We start from the raw sequence: 20,161 nt of genomic DNA, 5'->3' as shown, positions 1-20,161 counted from the left end.
AACAGTACTGAGGGGCAATAGGTTGAAAATTTCTTAGATAATTGCAATATTTTCAAGGAGGCCCCACGAATCCTTCCTGGCTGACCCCACCAAAGCTTTGGCATAGCCTTTATGCCAAATGTCTTAGACTAACTAACTTTTCCAAAAGAAAATAGAGGAGTTATGGAGACCAATATTTAGTAGAATAATGCCTGATTATTTTGCTTTTGAGGTCTAGTAACTGCTAGTAAACTTGCCTAATTAATTCACATTTAGAAGTAGAGTAAAGAGGGTTTCAAGCACTTGAAACACCACTGACTTCATTTCATGTGAGAGTTGCTATGGAGAGCTAATGAACTATGAGGCTGCAGGTCTCTCAGCCAATAGGTCTTCTAGATTTCCTATGTGACTCCCTTTTCTGGTCATAGGCGATTTTGCTTTTGCTTTGAGTATTATAGCACCATAATGTGTCAGACACTCTACTCTTACCAAGCCTTACACAAAGTTTATCCTGTTATTTGGTGGAGCTTGGCTCATAAAAAAAAAAAAAAAGACAGAATGATAAAGAGGAAGACAGCAATCCTCATGGCTGAGGAAAGAAGAAAGCTTGGCTTTATTTCCAGTAGGCAGAGAAAACTTCCGTCTGTGGCTCTCTAGCACCAGTGGAATGTCTTTGTTTGGATAATAAGTGTCCTTCCATACCTCATTAGGCATATTCACAGAGATGTACTATGCACACAAAATGACCTTCATGAGACGACTGAGAGTCCATGTTTTATTGGACACTAAGTTCATTAGAATGATGTGGGTGCACAGTTTTGACCAGAAAACCTTGTTAAATGGGAACATAAGCTACAAATATTTTGGCAAAAGATTAAGGTTTATGAACAAACAACCATTTATATTGTTACAATTAATTAGGCCATGTTGAGAAACCGTTTAGTTTAATGATTAGACATTTTGTTAGTGAACACTTCCCAGACTTTACTTGCCCTATTAATCCCCACTTTGCCCCTGGTCTGAATCCCCACAGTGCCTTGTTTATGGTACAGTGCCTACTGCCTTGTATGTTAGATTAGTGAACATATATTTGCCCCCTCTACTACTGCAGGAGCTTCTTGTTTGCCAGGACAGGGCTATATTCCTCAGAGCTGAGGAGGAGTTGAATCATGTGGTCATTTATTCTCAAATCCTCTTCATCAAGTGAAGCAAAACAGGACAGTGAAAGGTCACTGCACATGGAAGCAGGATGTCTGGATTTCAGTTCTAAATCTCTAGATGTATTACTAACTGGAGGTATGGATAGAGTCAGGAAAATTTTCTTCCTTAAGTTTTGGTAGCACCTATGTAGGTCCAGATCCGTTGGATCTAGATAAGGGGATTCTCAATAATTACTGTGCATAAAATCAACTGAAAGTGTTAGTTTGCAATGCAGATTCATAGCCCCATTCTATGAAATATTTACTGTTTTATAAATTGATAAATAATTTTTATTAGACAATGTAAATTTCCTTACTTGCACCAGCATACAAAAGTATTGAATAATATTAGCAGCAGAATCTTTCAACAAAATAACTATGTATCTTTATTAAACCACTTTGTTTCACTGCTTTTTATTTTCTTTTATGTATCACTATTGTGTTCATTATTATCATCATCACACATTATTGAACACCCATCATGTACCATATGGCACAAACATTGTTTCTGCTCATAAGGAGTATATATTCTCTACATGTTTATAAAATTAATGCCTGAATAAGTTTGCTTAAGCAAAGCAGAAGTTGATTTCTTTTTCACTTAAAATTAACCTGTAGTTATACCATTCAGGGCTAGTACAGATACTTTCTAATATCATTAGGGATGCAGGTCCCTTCCGGCTCTCTGCTCTGCTATACTTTAGAAAAGGTCCTAGTTTGGCTGCTAAATTCCCACCTATTATTCCTGAACTCTAGACAGCAGGGAGAAAAATCCATGAGAGAAGGGCAAAGGAACATCTACCCTTCCTTTTTAAATTTTTTAACCAACCCCCCTTAAAAACACTTTGTTGAGACATGATTACATTCAAAAAGCTGTACCTATTTAATGTGTATATCTCAGTGAGTTTGAGAATAAGGATACATTGTGAAAGCATCACTACCATCAAGATTATAAACATATTCATCACCTCCCAAAGTTCTCCCTCCCATTCTAATTATTATTTTTATTGGTAAGAATAATTAACATAAAATTCACCCTCCTATTATATTTTAAGTATGCAATGCAGTATTCATAGCTATAAGCACTATGCTATAAATTAGACCTCCTGAACTTATTTATGTGATATATCTAAAACTTTGTACTGTAATCACACCTACACACTTACCTGCACCACAGTTCTTGGTCAGTCTACCCTCTGCTTCTGAGTTTGTTTTTTTGAGATTTCAAATACAAGGGGAATCATACAGTATTTGTCATTCTGTGTTTGGTTTATTTCACATGACTTCATGCCTTTCAGATCCATCAATGTTGTCACAAATGACAGGGTTTCATTATTATATAATACTGAATAATATTCCATTGTACATATATATATATATATATATATATAAAACAATAATTCAGCCGTCCATGAATGAATGATAACATGTATGTCTTCTTCATAGATCTTGACTATTGTGAGCAGTGCTGAAAGGAGCATAGGAGCGCAGATAACTCTTTCACATACTGATTTCGTGACTTCATATATATATATCTATATATCTATATATGTATATATATAGATATATATATTATATATAAAATAAGTGGGATTGCTGGAACAAAATGGTATTTTTATTGTTAATTTTTTGAGAAACGTCCATACTGTTTTCCAAGGTGGCCATACTAATTTACATTCCCACCACCAGTATACAAAGGTTCCCTTTTCTCCACATCCTTACCAACACTTGTTATCATCCATCTTTTTGATAATAGCTATTCTAACAGGTGTGAGGTGATATTTCTTGGTAGTTTTCATTTGCATTCCCGTGATGACTAGAGAGGGTAAGAATTGTTTATATATATGTTGTCCATTTGTATCTCCTTTTTCGAGAAATGCCTGCTCATATATCTTTGTTCATTTTTTACTTTTTCAATTTTTATTTTAGACACAGAGGATACATGTGCAGGTTTGTTACATGGATGTATTGTGTGCTGCTGAGGTTTACAGTATGAATGATCTCATCACACACTTAGTGAACATAATACCCAATAGTTAGTTTTTCAGGCCTTGCACCCAACCCTCCCTCCTCTCTCTAAGAATCTCCAGTGTCTGTTGTTTCCATATAAGTGAGAGCTAAACAGTGTATAACCCAATGTTTAGCTCTCACTTATACATGAGAATATGTAGTATTTGGTTTTCTGTTCCTGTGTACCACACCATACTGGGCTAACTTTTGTATTTTTGGTAAAGATGGGGTAGCTTCAACATGTTGGCCAGGCTGGTCTTGAACTCCTGGGTTCATGCGATCCACCCACCTCACAAAGTGCTGACATAACAGGCATGAGCCACTGCACCTGACTTTCCTGAACTTTTTTAGCTTATATTAGGTTTGTCTGTTCTAGAATTTTGTATACATTTATTTATATTATAGGACACTTTTTAGCTTAGCTTTCCCCAATCGGGGTTAGAAAGATTATATTGATCCATGATCATGATGTTGATTCATAGAGTTGATTTTTCCCCTTTATTGCTAAATATTACTCTATAATATGCATATAATTTATCAATTTCCTCTCAATAGACATTTGAGCTGTTCCTAGGCTTTAGCTATTGTTAATAGAACTCAAGGACACATTTTTAAAAGAAAAAATTTCAACCCAAATTGTCCTTTCCTTTTGGCTCTCCAATATTGTGTCAGAGTTATATTTTTGTTGTCTTGAAAATCCAATTACATTGAAGAGGAGGTGTCTCTAGAATCAAGTTTCAGTATATGTGTGGTCTGGCTGTGTCCTGGAATGTAGCCCTTATTAGTTTTATTAAGCATTTTCCTATATAAATTGAAATCAAGTTGAAGACTCATTTTTCCACAGTAGGACAAATAGAACAGTTTAGGACTTTGGAGAGATAGCAACTTGCTGCTTGCCTGTGCAACCCACCTCAAAAGATACAACTCCTCCAACTTTTGATTTCTGGTGACTTGTCCAAACAATTAGATGTGAATTGACCTTATTCCCTTACATTACTACAAGTCGATATTCTGCACCTGGCCAAATACAGTATAAAATTGATGAGCATACGTTTCTTTTGGTTTCATACATTCTATTTAAAGCTATTCTCTGTGGCTGGGCATTATGGCTCATGCCTGTAATCCCAGCAGTTTGGAAGGCCAAGATGGGTGGATCACTTGAGGCCAGGGGTTTGAGACCTGCCTGGCCAACATGATGAAAGCTGTCTTTCTGAAAAATACAAAAATTTTCTGGGTATCGTGGCACGTGCCTGTAATCCCAGCTACTCAGGAGGCTGAGGCAGGAGAATCACTTGAACCCAGGAGGCAGAAAGTGCAGTGAGCCAAGATCCCACCTCTGCATTCCATCCTGGGTGAGAGAATTAACCTCCATCTCAAAAAAATAAAAAGCTAATCTATACTTTTCTTTTGGTGTATTATTAGAACATAGAAGGCAATAAGGCAAAACTATTGTGGGTATATTAGTGCGTATCTGTAGCACCTAGCACAGTGCCTAGCCCATAACTTGTGTTGAAAATTAAGAGAACCTTCTTAATATCCTTTTCTATACTCTAGTTCTGAATTTAAAGAAAGAAAAAGGTAGGTTAGCAAATATAGGTATCAATTATTTCTATTGACAGATCATTTGGACAACATGTTTTTGGGTGTGGGAGAAAAAAGATTCCTAACTCTCCACCCCAGAAATAATTTTGCTGATACAAAAATCAGCCAGACATGGTGGCACATGCCTATAATCCCAGCTACTTAGGAGGATGAGTTTGAGGATAAGGATACATTGTGAAAAAGGTGGGAAAATCACTTGAACACAGGAGGCAGAGATTGCAGTGAGCCAAGAGTGCCCCACTGCATTCCAGCCTAGGCAACAGAGAAAGACTCTGTCTGAAAGAAAAAAAAAGTTGTTGCTATATAGCACATAATTTTATTGTCATCACATTTAAAATTGAATAGTACATTTGGGTTGAACTCTTATGCCTGCAGAGACATTTTCTTCTGGCTTAAAATCGCTGGCTGTAGGAGGAAACTCCAGCAGAGGGCATCGTAAGGATTTCATAGTGTCTATGGTCATCTTGGTAATTCCTCAAATAATTCCTGGCAATTCTGTTAGGTCTTGAACTTCACTTACTTCTTACATGTTTAAGAAAAAGAAGTTCAAAGCATTGCCATGGCTGTTGAATTCCCACAGGCTTGTCTTCCCTTTGAAATTCATCACATGGTTTGTACTCTTTTGCAGATATAATATGTAAGTTTGGAGGTGGATACTTTCAGCCATTAAGTTCAAAAGTACTGCTACAAGGGCCAACCATGGTGGCTCACACCTGTAATCCCAACCCTTTGGGAGGCCAAAGCAGGCAGATCACGAGATCAGGAAACTGAGACCATCCTAGCCAACATGGTGAAAACCCATCTGTACTAAAAATACAAAAATTAGCTGAGTGTGGTAGTGTGTGCCTGTAGTCCCAGCTACTCGGGAGGCTGAGGCAGGAGGATTGCTTGAACCCGGGAGGCAGAGGTTGCGGTGAGCCAAGATTGCGCCATTGCAGGGCAGCCTGGTTACAGAGTGAGACTCCGTCTCCCAAAAAAAAAAAAAAAAAAAAAAAAGTACTGCTACATGGACATCCATTGTCCCAGCATCTCTGCCATAATAGCTGAGGAATTATTGAGAATGTCTGTTAATTTCTTTAACTCCAAATTTGTGTTATGTCCCTTGGTCTTCTGTCATACCATAAATTGTATTATTCATAAAATGGACACCTTGTTTATAGTTATTTCTTCTCAGCATGCTACATCCCTTTAGAATTTAAACATAGTGTCTCCCAACCTGAAATTGGAAGTTTTGAAAAACCAGAAAAATGTTTTCGGACACCTTTTATTTCCAGCTGTTTTTATGTCCTCTCCTGAATCCAAGTTGAGGGTAAAGTCCATTCACCAGCATTTCTCCTCAACTCACAGCAACCTCATCCCACTCCAACATGATGTTTGTCCCCACAAATTGATGCACATAATTCTTGCTGGCAGTGCTAATGTCCTAATTAAAAAAATCAGGAGATGGCATCAGACTTTACTTTATTTTCTAGCTCAGCAGCATTTGATTCCTGTCTGATGAGGAAACCCTATTTTCCCTAGAAACTTTTCACTTTTGTCACAGGTTTGGTTCCCAGGGAACTGGATATAGATGAAGTTTAGTGTGCAGGATGTATATTAGGAAGTGATGTGAGGATCCACATCTGTGGAAAGGATTGGAGGGAAGCCTTATGTGCAAAGGGACAAGTCTAATCGCAGTGCAGCCTGACATTGTCAGCTGGCCACACGGACAGAGCTGTAGAGCTAAGAAGTCCTCCCCTATTGTCCCAACTGAATCAAATGGCAAAGCCTATGTACCCCTTGCCTCCATTAATGATTGTGTGCTTGCCACTTGTGGAGGATGAGACTTTGAAGCAGGTGGCTTTCTGTGGCTGAAGAAAACCTTAAATGTGCTGACAAAGTTTTCCAAAGAGACAGAGAATGGCATCTGGCATGTATGTTGCCCCTTTCCAAAGAGGAAGCAACAAGGGTAATAGCCTCCAATGGCTCTGTATGCAGATAGGTGGACAGTAATGTCTGTCCCTCCTGTGACCTAAGAAGAACAGATGGCAGACATGCAGCCAGGCAGTTAGAGGTGACACAGTGTTAGGAGATAAACATCTGTCAGAAGCAGTGCTTCTTTGAATCAGGTGTGACACGAGCCTTGCATCCCTTGCATGGACCCCTTCCCCATTATCCTGCTGTCCTACCTCATGAAGGTGGGTGGGGGCTGGCTGGTGAGCAGTCCCAGTACCAGATACACTTTGCCTGCAGTCTTTCCACATGAGTTCCAAGGTAGCCCATGTGATCATCCATGAACGTTGTGTTTTCCTTATGCTGCTTGTCCTTTGCCTTTGAGGAACACGTTTCATTTGACTCTGAGTGCAAACGACACATGTGTCCCTATATCTGGACATTGTCCTTCACTTAGGGGAATCCGTAATCTATATTGCCTTTGTTTTATTTTTACTATTAATATTATAATAATTAACATTGTCATTATTACCTTCATTGTTGATATTCAGTTATTTTTATTAATAGAGTTACTATGAATTATTATATTGTGGCTACTTACACCAAGATGAAGATAATTTATTAGTTCAGGAAGAACCTGCATTCTGAAGGCAAATGGAAGTTCCAGCTACAGATGGGCAGACACATGCCCCCTCAATTCCTGATGGACCTCCTTGTGCCTCATGGACCTAAGGGGCCTCCCTCAATGTTTCAAGATGCCACCAAGGCAGGGATCAGCTAGTGCATTCCTGAGAACATCCAGGATGAATTGAGGCTCTGGAAAAATGCAAGAGTTTCCACATAATCCCAAAAAACCCTACAGGTGAACTGGATGCCACAGAAAGAGGAGTGGTCTTTGTCACAACAAAATCAACAAAATTATTTCGAAGTCAATTAGGAAACTCAGAAATCACTCTTGCTGCCATTAAGAGGAAGAACAGCAGCCTGTGAATGGCATCCCTGGCCTTCCCGAGACTCCACAGATATTTCTATGTGGCTTCAGACACCAGAAATCTCTGTGATTTTCAGAAAGGCAGGGACAGCTCATGCAAGCCCATCCCTCTGCAGAATGTGTCCCAGCAGATCAGTGGCATGGAACCATCATGGACAGCACAGAGGCTCAAGGGCAGCATCCCAGGTGGGCCTGTGACTCTAGATAAGTTCTGAGTCCCCATGGGGGATCAGGAAAGGTTAGTGATGACCTGGAAAGAAGGGACAGGTGGAAACCGCCCCTAAGCAATCTGCAGGATTCCAACTTCAGCAGGAAACCAAGGACCAGCTCGTACCACACCTGCGCCCCCTGAAAACTGGATACAATCCCATTCTGCAGAAAGTTCCACGTAGAAGTGGCTGGGAATTTTGCATTCTAGAATGAATTTTACAGTGCCTCTGGACATGTGATGAGAAAGTTAACATTGGTGTATCTAAGTGACATTTTCCACGAAGTGATTTTTTAAGCTGTTTTAAAACAGACAAAATATAATTAAAACATATGTATTATATGTCAAAGTATGGTTCGCTGGAATCAAGTAGACTCACCTTGAGATACAATCTTGGACAACCTCCATATTCAGAATATCTACTTTTTCAAACCGAAACTCTCCAACCAAAAATCAATAACATCAAAAGTTTGCAACTACAAGCCAACGGAAAATAAATACATGAATTCTACCAAAGTGAATTGGACTGCTTTGGGAAACACAGATGAAGAAAGTCAACACCGCTTTGTCTTTCAGTGCCTGGCTCCCTTTTCAGCTCGTCTTGCGACACCAGACATTATACCTGAAAAGTCTCCCGGACGCCTGTGAGGCTCTAATTCCCTGGGTCCTATTGTCATTTCTCTGGATTTGCAAAGATCCACCTCACCTTCTGTGGAACCCCCATGTCGGTGAACTTTTGGGCCACGGCCCCTAATTCTGCCCATAGTCATCTGGAACTGCACGAGTTAGGGTCCATGTTCCTTGGACGGGAAGAGACAGGCAGGAGTCGGAATGATGAACCAGCACACTGGGGCATTTTCTCATGTAGCCCAAGTGACCCCATGGTCTTCTCGAGCTTTGGAACCAGTCGCGTCCCCCTTGACACTGCACCCGACTCCCAGTTTCTCAATCTTGTTGGCCCTCCGGCGATCTCCCTTTGGATGAATTGCACCTGCTGAAACTCGAGTCCCCTTTGATTTGCGCTTCATTAATTATTCATGATTCAGTTTGGAAGGCCTGCTTACGACTCCCTGTGGCCGTTCTCTGAGCTTTCCGGTCACATCGTTTCCTTCCACGCTCTTTGGTTCATTGTGGTCCTGCTGCTTCTGCTGTCAGAGGAGCAGAGAGTAGATCTTATTGATTCTGGATACGGATACTTTCTAGGTGATCTGGATAATCAAGATAACGACCCTCAACAGCGGCGGAAAGGGAGCAGCCATTCAGTGTGTCTCAGAAAATACCGCTCAGTTCCGAGGCCTCCTAGATGTGGAATCCTGCTCAGAGTTGTTCCCAGGTCAGAGAATAGAGAGAGTCTGTGCATGATGAGATATCCCTGCCTAGATCTTTCAGTGAGTCTCTACCTCAGCTACTCTTAGGATCAGTGGGAGAACCATGGAAAGGCCCGGTGTCAGACATCCGGAAAGAAGATGGGATGAATGTTTTACCTCTGAAGTACATCCCAAATCTGGGAGTTAACTACAGCTTTGCTGGGGACTATTTGGTCAGTGAAACTCTGCCTGGTTCATTCGCACATCCGGAAGCCACTTCACGGGGGGCCGTCGCAACCGGAACCACACACTTGGCATAGGCGGTTGAGCCAAATGGGGACTCGCGGTGCAAGCAACGCTCCCCACGTGTTAGCGTGCGTGAGATTCAGTTGGCGGAATTTTACTAGGTGCGTGTTGGTAGAGTGGGGCTGAGGTTCTCTTTCTCCTGTGGATGTATACGAAGTCAAAGGTCCTGCCCAGCCGTGCGGTCCCCTCAGTCAACTCTGTTTCGGAGACATAACGATTTGGATTGCTAACAAGTCAAGAAATGTTCAAGCCCTTGGATGTAGGGAAAAGAAAGAGAGATCAGACTGTCACTGTGTCTATGTCGAAAGGGAAGACATAAGAGACTCCATTTTGGAAAAGACCTGTACTTTAAACAATTGCTTTGCTGAGATGTTGTTCATTTGTAGCTTTGCCCCAGGCACTTTGCCCCAGCCGCTTTGACCCAACTTGGAGCTCACAAAAACCTGTGTTGTATAAAATCAAGGCTTAAGGGATCTAGGGCTGTGCAGGACGTGCCTTGTTAACCAAATGTTTACAAGCCGTATACTTGGTAAAAGTCGTGGCCATTCTCTAGTCTCAATAAACCAGGGGCACAATGCACCGTGGAAAGCTGCAGGGACGTCTGCCCTTGAAAGTAGGGCATTGTCCAAGGTTTCTCCCGATGCGATACTCTGAAATATGGCCTTGTGGGATAAAAAAGACCTGACTGTCCCCTAGCCTGACACCGGTAAAGCGTCTGTGCTGAGGTGGATTAGTCAAAGAGGAAAGCCTCTTGTAGTTGAGATGGAGGAAGGCCACTGTCTCCTGCTCGCCCCTGGGAGCTGAATGTCTCGGTGTAAAATCCGATCGTACATTTGTTCAACTCTGAGCTAGGAGAAAAGCTGCCCTGTGGCGCGAGGCGAGACATGTTGGCAGTAATGCTGCCCTGTTATTCTTTACTCCGCTGAGATGTTTGGGTGGAGAGAAACATAAATCTGGCCTACGTGCACGTCCAGGCATAGTACCTTCCCTTGAACTTAATTATGATATAGATTGCTTTGCTCACATGTTTTTTTGGTTGACCTTCTCTTTATTATCACCCTGCTCTCCTACTACATTCCTTTTTGCTGAAATAATGAAAATCATAATCAATTAAAAATGAGGGAACTCAGAGGCCGGTGCCGGTGCAGGTCCTTGGTGTGCTGAGTGCCGGTCCCCTGGACCCACTTTTGTCTCCCTATACTTTGCCTCTGTGTCTTATTTCTTTTCTCCGTCTCTCATCCCACCCGACTAGAAACACCCACAGGTGTGGAGGGGCAGGCGATCCCTACACTTGGAAAATCAGTTAAACACAAACACGGAATGAGAGTCAAAAGACAATATGTCATCTTTTTGAGAATTTTATTCACTTCAAAACAAATTCAACACACATATTTACAAAGGCATTCCAGAGCCCAGTTTTCGAGGCTGAGGAAAGACCCCGAGAGCACTTTGCACAGCACGCTTCCCAGCGTCCGAAACACTGCTCTCAAGGCGGAGCACAGAGGAAGGGCTGCACCTCTCAGGGTTCCCTAACTTTTCCCTTATTCAGTCATCTAAAGAGCAAATACACAGTAATTCCCTAGTTTCCTATTGACGTCCCAGCGGAAGTCTGACTCCAGCGCATCACGCAGTTTCTGACGCAAAGAATCACTGACGCGGAAGCTTTTCCTGGTGCGTTTCTGGAGACCCATGCGAAATACAATGTCCCTCACCAGAATTCAATGAGGCAGAGTCCCTGCATCTGTTCTCTGCCTGGCCTGGGCTCCCACATCCACAGAAGCGCGACAGCCGGGGAGCATCGAAGTCAGCGCAGAGTCTGCTCTCTGCTCTGCGCTCCTCAGTCCCACAGTCCCCTCCAAGTCACGGGAGCTGGAGGCCAAGGAGCCCCTGCCACCTGCAGTCTCACTCCAGGTCAGAATCGCTGTCCTCTGAGGAGGAGGAAACCTGAAGGTCCTCATAGAGGACGCTCGGTGGGACACGAACACAGGGAGCCTCAGACTTCTCTGACACATGAGGGCTCTGAGCGAGGAAGGCTCCCGGCTTCTCAGGAGAGTGAAATGAGGGGGCCGCCAGGAGGCTGGAGCTCCAGCGTCCGTTTTCCAGTCTCCGGAAGAGCACTCTGAGAGGCTGGGCCCCATCATGGCTGGCCGCTGGGTGATGGGACATGGTGCAGGCCTGGGCAGTAGGCAGGCAAGGTCTGCGGTGCGGAGGCTGCCGTTCAACGCTGGGCACCTGGGCCGGTGTCCTCCTGCCCATCTGGGGCGACCTACTTGGTCCAAGTTCGGTTGCGGCTGGTGGAGGTTGGAGATTCTCCGGGGCCCCCAGCTCACCTCCCTGGATGGTGCTTTCGGGGATCTGGAAGGGACCCAGTCTCGGTTTCTTGGGGAAGTTCAGGCAAGCCTGAATCGGAGCCTGGGCAGGTCTCTTGGCTCCTGACCCAAAGCTGAGATTGGAGCCTAGGCCCAAGCTGTGTGTGGCGGCTGATGGGCAGGGCTGTGAGGTCACCGCAGGACGTTTGTCTTGTGCCTGGGTTCTGACGGCCTGGAGCAGGCCGTGGGTTTTGGAGGCAGCCTGGGGAACTTCTCGGCAGCTACCCTCAGGGCTGCTGTGTGTCGGCTCCACCACGAGGAGAGTCTCGTGGACCTGGTGCCTGACTGCAGGCCGAGGGATGTCGGCGGCAGCCCCTGTCTGTCTTTCCTTTGGTCCAAGACTTGAGGAGGAGCTCAGACTGGCTTTTCTGAGGGGAGACAGTGAAGCCAAGACGGAGCCCCTGCCAGACATTTCGGTAGCTGAGCGACCAGAGAGGACAGGGTCCATGCGCGGCCTCTTACAGGTTGTGTGGACCGGCATTGGCCCCCTTGCAACCTGAAAGAGAGGAAACAACACAGGTTAGAAGTTCCTCAGCATGGAGCCAACATGAAAATCAAACACATCCAAAGACAAGGTGCACACACCATGAAATTCTTAGTACAGTATCGACAGGCGGTCCTTGGAAGTAGGGACAGACCCTCCACCTGAGTGCTGATCAGGAAAAGACACATGAACGATGCGCTATCGAGCTATGTGTAGCTGATCTAAGCACACCATTGTTCAAAAGATTGCGTCTTGGGCATTAACTGGATCAAAGTGCCTCCACTCAGCCTTCCATGAAGTGGAACGGACTAATGGCTTTCCGAAGGCAGGTTGGTGGCTCAAGGGTACTCGGGACGTCTTCTATGAACACATGCATGTTCCTGGGTTTAGCCTTCTCCACGTTTGCGGCCTCTGAGGGACTAATTTCCTCATGCCGCTAGGAACGTGTTGTTGGCAGGCTTGCCATAATTGGACAGAAAGAAAGCCACAGGAAATACGGCATCTTCAGATGACTTCGCCTGGAATCAAACTGACCTGCAAGGATCGTGGAGGCCCTGACCCCAAGAAGACAAGAAAGAGGGGTTCCCCGATTTCCTCCCGCAGACGGGAAGCTGAAAGGAAATCAACCAGGGTTACCTAGAGGATAAAAGGACCAGGGGCCCGGGGTGACACTCACCCTCAGATAATCAGAAGATTCCGTGGATCCTTTTCCATTCGGCAGCGGCTTCTCTGGAGGTTTCCCGGAAAACATGTGGAGGAGAGCCTTCCTCTGCGGGTCTTGTTGCCTGCAGAACAGAAAAAGGTCAGGCCGTGCCCCCTGGTTTTCCCCAGGAGACAGGGAGAACCCCGTCTGGGGCCCAGCCCCATTCCGTGTCTTGTGATACAGAAATGGAAATCTGGTGCCCTTTCCGCCTCTGCACCTTCCCTCACGTGCCAACCTTCCCATCCTCCAGGTGGCCCTCTAGGCTTCCCAACTAAGGACTGTGATTTGGATTCCATTGCTTTTCCCCCTGTCGTGGGGAACCTGCATGAAGCGCCCCCGCCTCTCCCCGTCCCTGAATCTCCCAGAGCCCAAGGAGCTCCTGGGTGTGGAACCCCGGAGGACACGGAGCTCCGGCCTATTTCTCTGCAGCGTTCCTTCCCTGGCCCGGAGACGGAAAGGCACACGGTGTGCAGGTGCAGAGACACCATGTCCTTAGGAGGCAGTACCCTAAGAGTGGTGAAAACCCCTCCCACTGCTCACCTTGGTCTCTCTTCCTTCTCTCCCTTATCCTTGTTCAAGGGCCCCGGGTTGGCTTCAACCCCAGGCTTCCATGGTTTCAGGTTTTCCTTCCCTTCCTTTTTCCCCAAGGTCGCTGGAACCAGGGCTGCCTTCCAGCACTTCATGGGGCACCTGGTACTTCTGGCCGTGTGGCCAAAGGCCCCGCAGTTTTTGCACTTGAGCTGTGGGTGGAAAGGAAGTGATGTCAGTGAGTGAGCTGAAGCCACAGGCAGCGATCCCACGTTAACATTGGGATGGATTGTGAATTCAGAGCTGAATAAGGATTCCAAAGAGGGGACACCGGCATGGGGGCCGTTAAGTGCTGGGAGAGTTCGGATACGATGTTCCCTCGCAAAGCCCGTGTGACGGAGGAACTCTGAAAGGAAGGACTCAAGGTTCCAAGGGGCACGATGGTGAAGCCGATGTCAACAACGCAGCCAAACGTGGCTACACAGGACTCTAAGTAGAAAGGGAGGTTGCCCCCAAGAGTCTCTCAAGGGACCTATCGGGCCGGGGAGAAGGTCCCAAGCCACGCCCACCTTGGATGGGAAAAGCAACCTGGCTGGTGGTGACAGAACTCTTTGGAATCCAACCCAGTCTCTGAGGACCGTGGGACACCCCCTCCCCCCGTCCCCACCCCCACCCCGATACCCAAGAGATCCAGGGCTAGACTTACCCTGGGATCTTCTTCATCGGGCGGGGGAGCCCTTGGCCCAACTGGGGCCCTCCGCTGCTTCTGGAGGGTCTGGGCTCTCACCAGTCTCTTGGCCCAAGATGTGGGGTCCCGACGTGCCATCATCTTCGTCTCCTGGGGGTTTTATGACCGCCTTTTTCAGGGGTGGACTGTTGGGCCACCTGAAACACACACAAACACACACATGTCGATGGTTAAGCACGTTGGATATTCACACACCCACAGGAAGCCACCTGCTAACTCCCTGCCTGTGTGGTCATGAGGAGACCTCACCACCAGTCGGTCAAATCTGTAGAACACAATGTGCTGTGCGCATCCTCGGATATTGTGTGTTCCTCTGCCATGACTACCTAGTCCAAGAGTAAACCCCACCTGCCACAGGGCCCGTGGCCTAGGTATGGGGGGTTGAGCTTTCAACCCCAAACAAACAACTGATTCTGGAGACTGGACTTAGGTCTCTCACGATTCACTCCGGTAGAAGACACGGTGATTCTATCTCCCTTGACGGACAGAATGATCGAAGACACAGGGCATGGCGTGTGCCACCCTTTGGCAGGTCTGCTTGAAGTCAGGGATAAGGGATGCTTCCTGTGACAACTTGAATCGCTACTCTTGCCATTTCATTAGGCAACTTCCAAACACAAATTCATACAGAGAAGTTACCTTCCTCTCTACCGCACTAGCAGGTGATGGTCTTTCCTGTTCTATCTTTTGGCTTTAGCTCCAGCCCCTCTTTATTTATTTTCCTGGTATTTTACGCATACCACACGAATTCATCTGAACAAACGGGGAAGAAGTGCCATATCGTATCGACGTCTTACACGGCTCAAGGGCCAACCACCCTTTTTTCCAAAGTCCTTTTGCCGTTTACCCACCAATTCAGCATGCTGCAGTACATTTCTTTTCGCATTCCCATCTTGGTCTTCTCCCACACGTGGAGACGGATATGTTTTCTCGTTTTCTGTTCCAAGAATTACTAGTAACGAGAACACATCCTACCCCACCAGCAAGCCCCAGTGTGATCGGTTTCTTTCGGCCTCCTTTGTCTCTTCCTCCCCCACACCCCCCGCAAAAACCCCTCAGGGATTGCGTGAAACAAACAATTGTTCAGCGAAACTAACCTGAAGTTACACGTCTACTTTCTTTCCCAGGCTGGCGCTGAGATGGGCAGGTGCTGCAGCAGCCCGGCTGGAAGCGATGCAGCATCCAGGACGACGGAGGAAGGGGCGGAGAGGGACCTCTGCTTTCCAGGCTGCCTTTTATACTGCCTCTGGTCACCTGACATGGAACGTACCCTAACCTAATCAGTTACCTGTACCTTAATTGCAATTAACTTAATCCAATTACATGACCTGGAAAGGTCTATCTGCACAGCCCACTCTAAGATCCTGTCCACTGCTGACAGACATTCTAAAACCTACTTGTACAGCTGCAAGCTTTGAACAATAGATGTTCCCCGTCAGACATGTAACACTGGTGCCTGTATCCCTGTCTTCTTTTCCATCTTTTTTGTTGTTTTGTTTTGTTTCGTTTTAAAAAATGTGGTAAAATAGACACCTTTTAATTGGACCACATTTTGTCTCTCTCGACGTAGGCCTCAGTGTCATCAAGGAGACTCTCCTTGACATGCAGTCACGGCCATGATCCATCTTCAGAGCTTCTCTTTCTTCCCCAAGGTAAGTCTGTCAGCAGAGAACCCTGACCGCACCCTCATGTGTTTTCTCCCCCAGGAGGCGCTTGGAAACCACCGTGAATTGGACCGCACTGGGAAACACAGATGAGGAAAGTCAACAACGCTTTGTCCTTCAGTGCCTGCCTCCTTTTTCAGCTCGTCTTGCGACTCCCGGACGCCTGTGAGGCTCTAATTCCCTGGGTCCCATTGCCATGTCTCTGGATTTGCGAAGATCCACCGCACCTTCTGTGGAACTCCCGTGTCGGTGAACTTTTGTGCCACGGCCCCTAATTCTGCCCATGGTCATCCGCACCTGCACGACTTAGGGTCCATGTTCCTTGGACGGGAAGAGACAGGCAGGAGTCGGAATGATGAACCAGCACACTGGGGCGTTTTCTCATGTAGCCCAAGTGACCCCATGGTCTTCTCGAGCTTTGGAACCAGTCGCGTCCCCTTTGACACTGCACCCGGCTCCCAGTCTCTCAATCTTGTTGGCCCTCCGGCGATCTCCCGTTGGATGAATTGCTCCTGCTGAAACTCCAGTCCCCTTTGATTTGCGCTTCATTAATTATTCATGATTCAGGTTGGAAGGCCTGCTGACGACCCCCTGTGGCCGTTCTCTGAGCTTTCCTGTCACATCGTTTCCTTCCACGCTCTTTGGTTCCTTATGGTCCTGCTCCCTCTGCTGTCAGAGGAGCAGAGAGTTGATCTTATTCATTCTGGATACGGATACTTTCTAGGTGATCTGGATAATCAAGATAACGACCCTCAACAGCGGCGGAGAGGGAGCAGCCAGTTGGTGTGTCTCAGAAAATCCCACTGAGTTCCGAGGCCTCCTAGATGTGGAATCCTGCTGAGAGTTGTTCCCAGGTCAGAGAATGGAGAGAGCCTGTGCATGATGGGACATCCCCGCCTAGATCTTTCAGTGAGTCTCTACCTCAGCTACTCTTAGGATCAGGGGGAGAACCATGGTGTCAGACATCCGGAAAGAAGACGGGATGAATGTTTTACCTCTGAAGTACATCCCAAATGTGGGAGTTAACTTCAGCTTTGCTGGGGTCTATTTGGCCAGTGAAACTCTGCCTGGTTCCTTCGCACATCCGGAAGCCACTTCACGGGGGGCCGTCGCAACTGGAACCACACACTTGGCATCGGCGGTTGAGCCAAATGGGGACTCGTGGTGCAAGCAACGCTCCCCACGTGTTAGCGTGCGTGAGATGCGGTTGGCGGAATTTTACTAGGTGCGTGTTGGTAGAGTGGGGCTGAGGTTTTCTTGCTCCTGTGGATGTATAGCAAGTCAAAGGTCCTGCCCAGCCCTGCGGTCCCCTCAGTCAACTCTGTTTCGGAGACGTAACGATTTGGATTGCCAACAAGTCAAGAAATGTTCAAGCCCTTGGATGTAGGGTAAAGAAAGAGAGATCAGACTGTCACTGTGTCTATGTAGAAGGGGAAGACATAAGAGACTCCATTTTGAAAAAGACCTGTAGTTTAAACAATTGCTTTGCTGAGATGTTGATCATTTGTAGCTTTGCCGCAGCCCCTTCCTTTGACCCAACTTGGAGCTCACAAAAACCTGTGTTGTATAAAATCGAGGTTTAAGGGATCTAGGGCTGTGCAGGACGCGCCTTGTTAACCAAATGTTTACGAGCAGTATACTTGGTAGGAGTCATTGCCATTCCCTAGTCTCAATAAACCAGGGGCGCAATGCACCGTGGAAAGCCACAGGGACCTCTGCCCTTGAAAGCAGGGTATTGTCCAAGGTTTCTCCCCATGTGACAGTCTGAAATATGGCCTCGTGGGATGGGAAAGACCTGACTGTCCCCCAGCCTGACACCCGCAATGGGTCTGTGCTGAGGTGGATTAGTCAAAGAGGAAAGCCTCTTGCAGTTCAGATGGAGGAAGGCCACTGTCTCCTGCTTGCCCCTGGGAACTGAATGTCTCGGTGTAAAGCCCGATCGTACATTTGTTCAACTCTGAGCTCGGAGAAAAGCTGCCCTGTGGCGGGAGGCGAGACATGTTGGCAGTAATGCTGCCTTGTTATTCTTTACTCCGCTGAGATATTTGTGTGGAGAGAAACATAAATCTGGCCTACGTGCACGTCCAGGCATAGTACCTTCCCTTGAACTTAATAATGATATGGATTCTTTTGCTCACGTGTTTGTTTTTGTTGTTGCTGTTGAACTTCCCCTTATTATCACCCTGCTCCCCTACTGCATTCCTTTGTGCTGTAATAATGATAATCATAATCAATAAAAACTGAGGGAACTCAGAGGCCGGTGCCGGTGCAGGTCCTAGGTGTGCTGAGTGCCGGTCCCCTGGACCCACTGTTGTCTCCCTATACTTTGTCTCTGTGTCTTATTTCTATTCTCCATCTCTCATCCCACCCGACTAGAAACACCCACAGGTGTGGAGGGGCAGGCCACCCCTTCACTTGGAAAATCAGTTACACACAAACACGGAATGAGAGTCAAAAGACAATATGTCATCTTTTTGAGAATTTTATTCACTTCAAAACCAATTAAACACACATATGTACAAAGGCATTCCAGAGCCCAGTTTTCGAGGCTGAGGAAAGACCCCGAGAGCGCTTCACACAGCACGCTTCCCAGCGTCCGAAACTCTGCTCTCAGGGCGGGGCACAGAGGAAGGGCTGCACCTCTCAGGGTTCCCTAACTTTTCCCTTATTCAGTCATCTAGAGAGCAAATACACAGTAATTCCCCAGTTTCCTATTGACGTCCCAGCGGAAGTCTGACTCCTGCGCGTCACGCAGTTTCTGAGGCAACGAATCTCTGGCACGGAAGCTTTTCCTGGCGCGTTTCGGGAGAACCACGCCAACTACAACGTCCCTCACCAGAATTCAATGAGGCAGAGTCCCTGCATCTGCTCCCTGCCTGGCCTGGGCTCCCACATCCACAGAAGCGCCACAGCCGGGGAGCTTCGGAGTCACCGCACAGAGTGTGCTCTCTGCTCTGCGCTCCTCAGCCCCACAGTCCCCTCCAAGTCACGGGAGCTGGAGGCCAAGGAGCCCCTGCCACCTGCAGTCTCACTCCAGGTCAGAATCGCTGTCCTCTGAGGAGGAGGAAACCTGAAGGTCCTCATAGAGGACGCTCGGTGGGACACGAACACAGGGAGCCTCAGACTTCTCTGACACATGAGGGCTCTGAGCGAGGAAGGCTCCCGGCTTCTCAGGAGAGTGAAATGAGGGGGCCGCCAGGAGGCTGGAGCTCCAGCGTCCGTTTTCCAGTCTCCGGAAGAGCACTCTGAGAGGCTGGGCCCCATCATGGCTGGCCGCTGGGTGATGGGACATGGTGCAGGCCTGGGCAGTGGGCAGGCAAGGTCTGCTGTGCGGAGGCTGCCGGTCGACGCTGGGCACCTGGGCCGGTGTCCTCCTGCCCATCTGGGGCGACGTACTTGGTCCAAGTTCGGTTGCGGCTGGCGGAGGTTGGAGATTCTCCGGGGCCCCCAGCTCACCTCCCTGGATGGCGCTTTCGGGGATCTGGAAGGGACCCAGTCTCGGTTTCTTGGGGAAGTTCAGGCAAGCCTGAATCGGAGCCTGGGCAGGTCTCTTGGCTCCTGGCCCGAAGCTGAGATTGGAGCCTAGGCCCAAGCTGTGTGTGGCGGCTGGCGGGCAGGGCTGTGAGGTCACCGCAGGACGTTTGTCTTGTGCCTGGGGTCTGGCGGCCTGGAGCAGGCCGTGGGTTTTGGAGGCAGCCTGGGGAACTTCTCGGCAGCCACCCTCGGGGCGGCTGTGTGTCGGCTTCACCACGAGGAGAGGCTCGCGGCCCTGGTGCCTGACTGCAGGCTGAGGCATGTCGGCCGCAGCCCCTGTCTGTCTTTCCTTTGGTCCAAGACTTGAGGAGGAGCTCAGGCTGGCTTTTCTGAGGGGAGACAGTGAAGCCAAGACGGAGCCCCTGTCAGACATTTCGGTAGCTGAGCCATCAGCGAGGACAGGGTCCACGCGCGGCCTCTTACTGGTTGTGTGGACCGGCATTGGCCCGCTTGCAACCTGAAAGAGAGGAAACAACACAGGTTAGAAGTTCCTCAGCATGGAGCCAACGTGAAAATCAAGCACATCCAAAGACAAGGTGCACACGCCATGAAATTCTTAGTACAGTATCGACAGGCGGTCCTTGGAAGTAGGGACAG

General features: G+C 47.3%; 2 protein-coding genes and 2 long non-coding RNA genes across 4 annotated transcripts in view; 2 read left to right on the top strand and 2 right to left on the bottom strand.

Annotated features, from left to right (window-relative positions):
• Positions 1 to 10,717, top strand: part of FAM66B (family with sequence similarity 66 member B) — a 56,620-nt gene extending 45,903 nt beyond the window's left edge. The window contains exon 7 of the long non-coding RNA NR_027423.2: positions 7,290 to 10,717. This is a non-coding gene — a long non-coding RNA (family with sequence similarity 66 member B). The remainder of the gene's footprint in view (positions 1 to 7,289) is intronic.
• A 719-nt stretch (positions 10,718 to 11,436) lies between these two features.
• Positions 11,437 to 14,447, bottom strand: FAM90A20 (family with sequence similarity 90 member A20). The gene is made up of 4 exons (NM_001423532.1): positions 14,325 to 14,447; positions 13,631 to 13,830; positions 13,064 to 13,172; positions 11,437 to 12,399 (listed from the first exon to the last, which is right to left on the bottom strand). The coding sequence occupies exons 1-4, from the start codon at positions 14,445 to 14,447 to the stop codon at positions 11,437 to 11,439; spliced, it is 1,395 nt and encodes a 464-aa protein (NP_001410461.1).
• The window catches only part of LOC124901877 (uncharacterized), a 27,344-nt gene continuing 21,059 nt past the window's right edge, over positions 13,877 to 20,161 (top strand). Inside the window, exons 1-2 of the long non-coding RNA XR_007060793.1 lie at positions 13,877 to 15,028; positions 15,494 to 16,018. This is a non-coding gene — a long non-coding RNA (uncharacterized LOC124901877). The remainder of the gene's footprint in view (positions 15,029 to 15,493; positions 16,019 to 20,161) is intronic.
• Positions 19,059 to 20,161, bottom strand: part of FAM90A5 (family with sequence similarity 90 member A5) — a 3,011-nt gene continuing 1,908 nt past the window's right edge. Inside the window, exon 4 of the mRNA NM_001423529.1 lies at positions 19,059 to 20,021. Within this exon, the coding sequence (NP_001410458.1) occupies positions 19,059 to 20,021 (963 nt within the window). The remainder of the gene's footprint in view (positions 20,022 to 20,161) is intronic.

The sequence above is a fragment of the Homo sapiens genome, chromosome 8, assembly GCF_000001405.40.
Source record: "Homo sapiens chromosome 8, GRCh38.p14 Primary Assembly".
NCBI lineage: Eukaryota > Metazoa > Chordata > Mammalia > Primates > Hominidae > Homo > Homo sapiens.
Note: the sequence above shows the minus strand (reverse complement) of the source record. Positions and strands in the feature narration are given on the sequence as shown.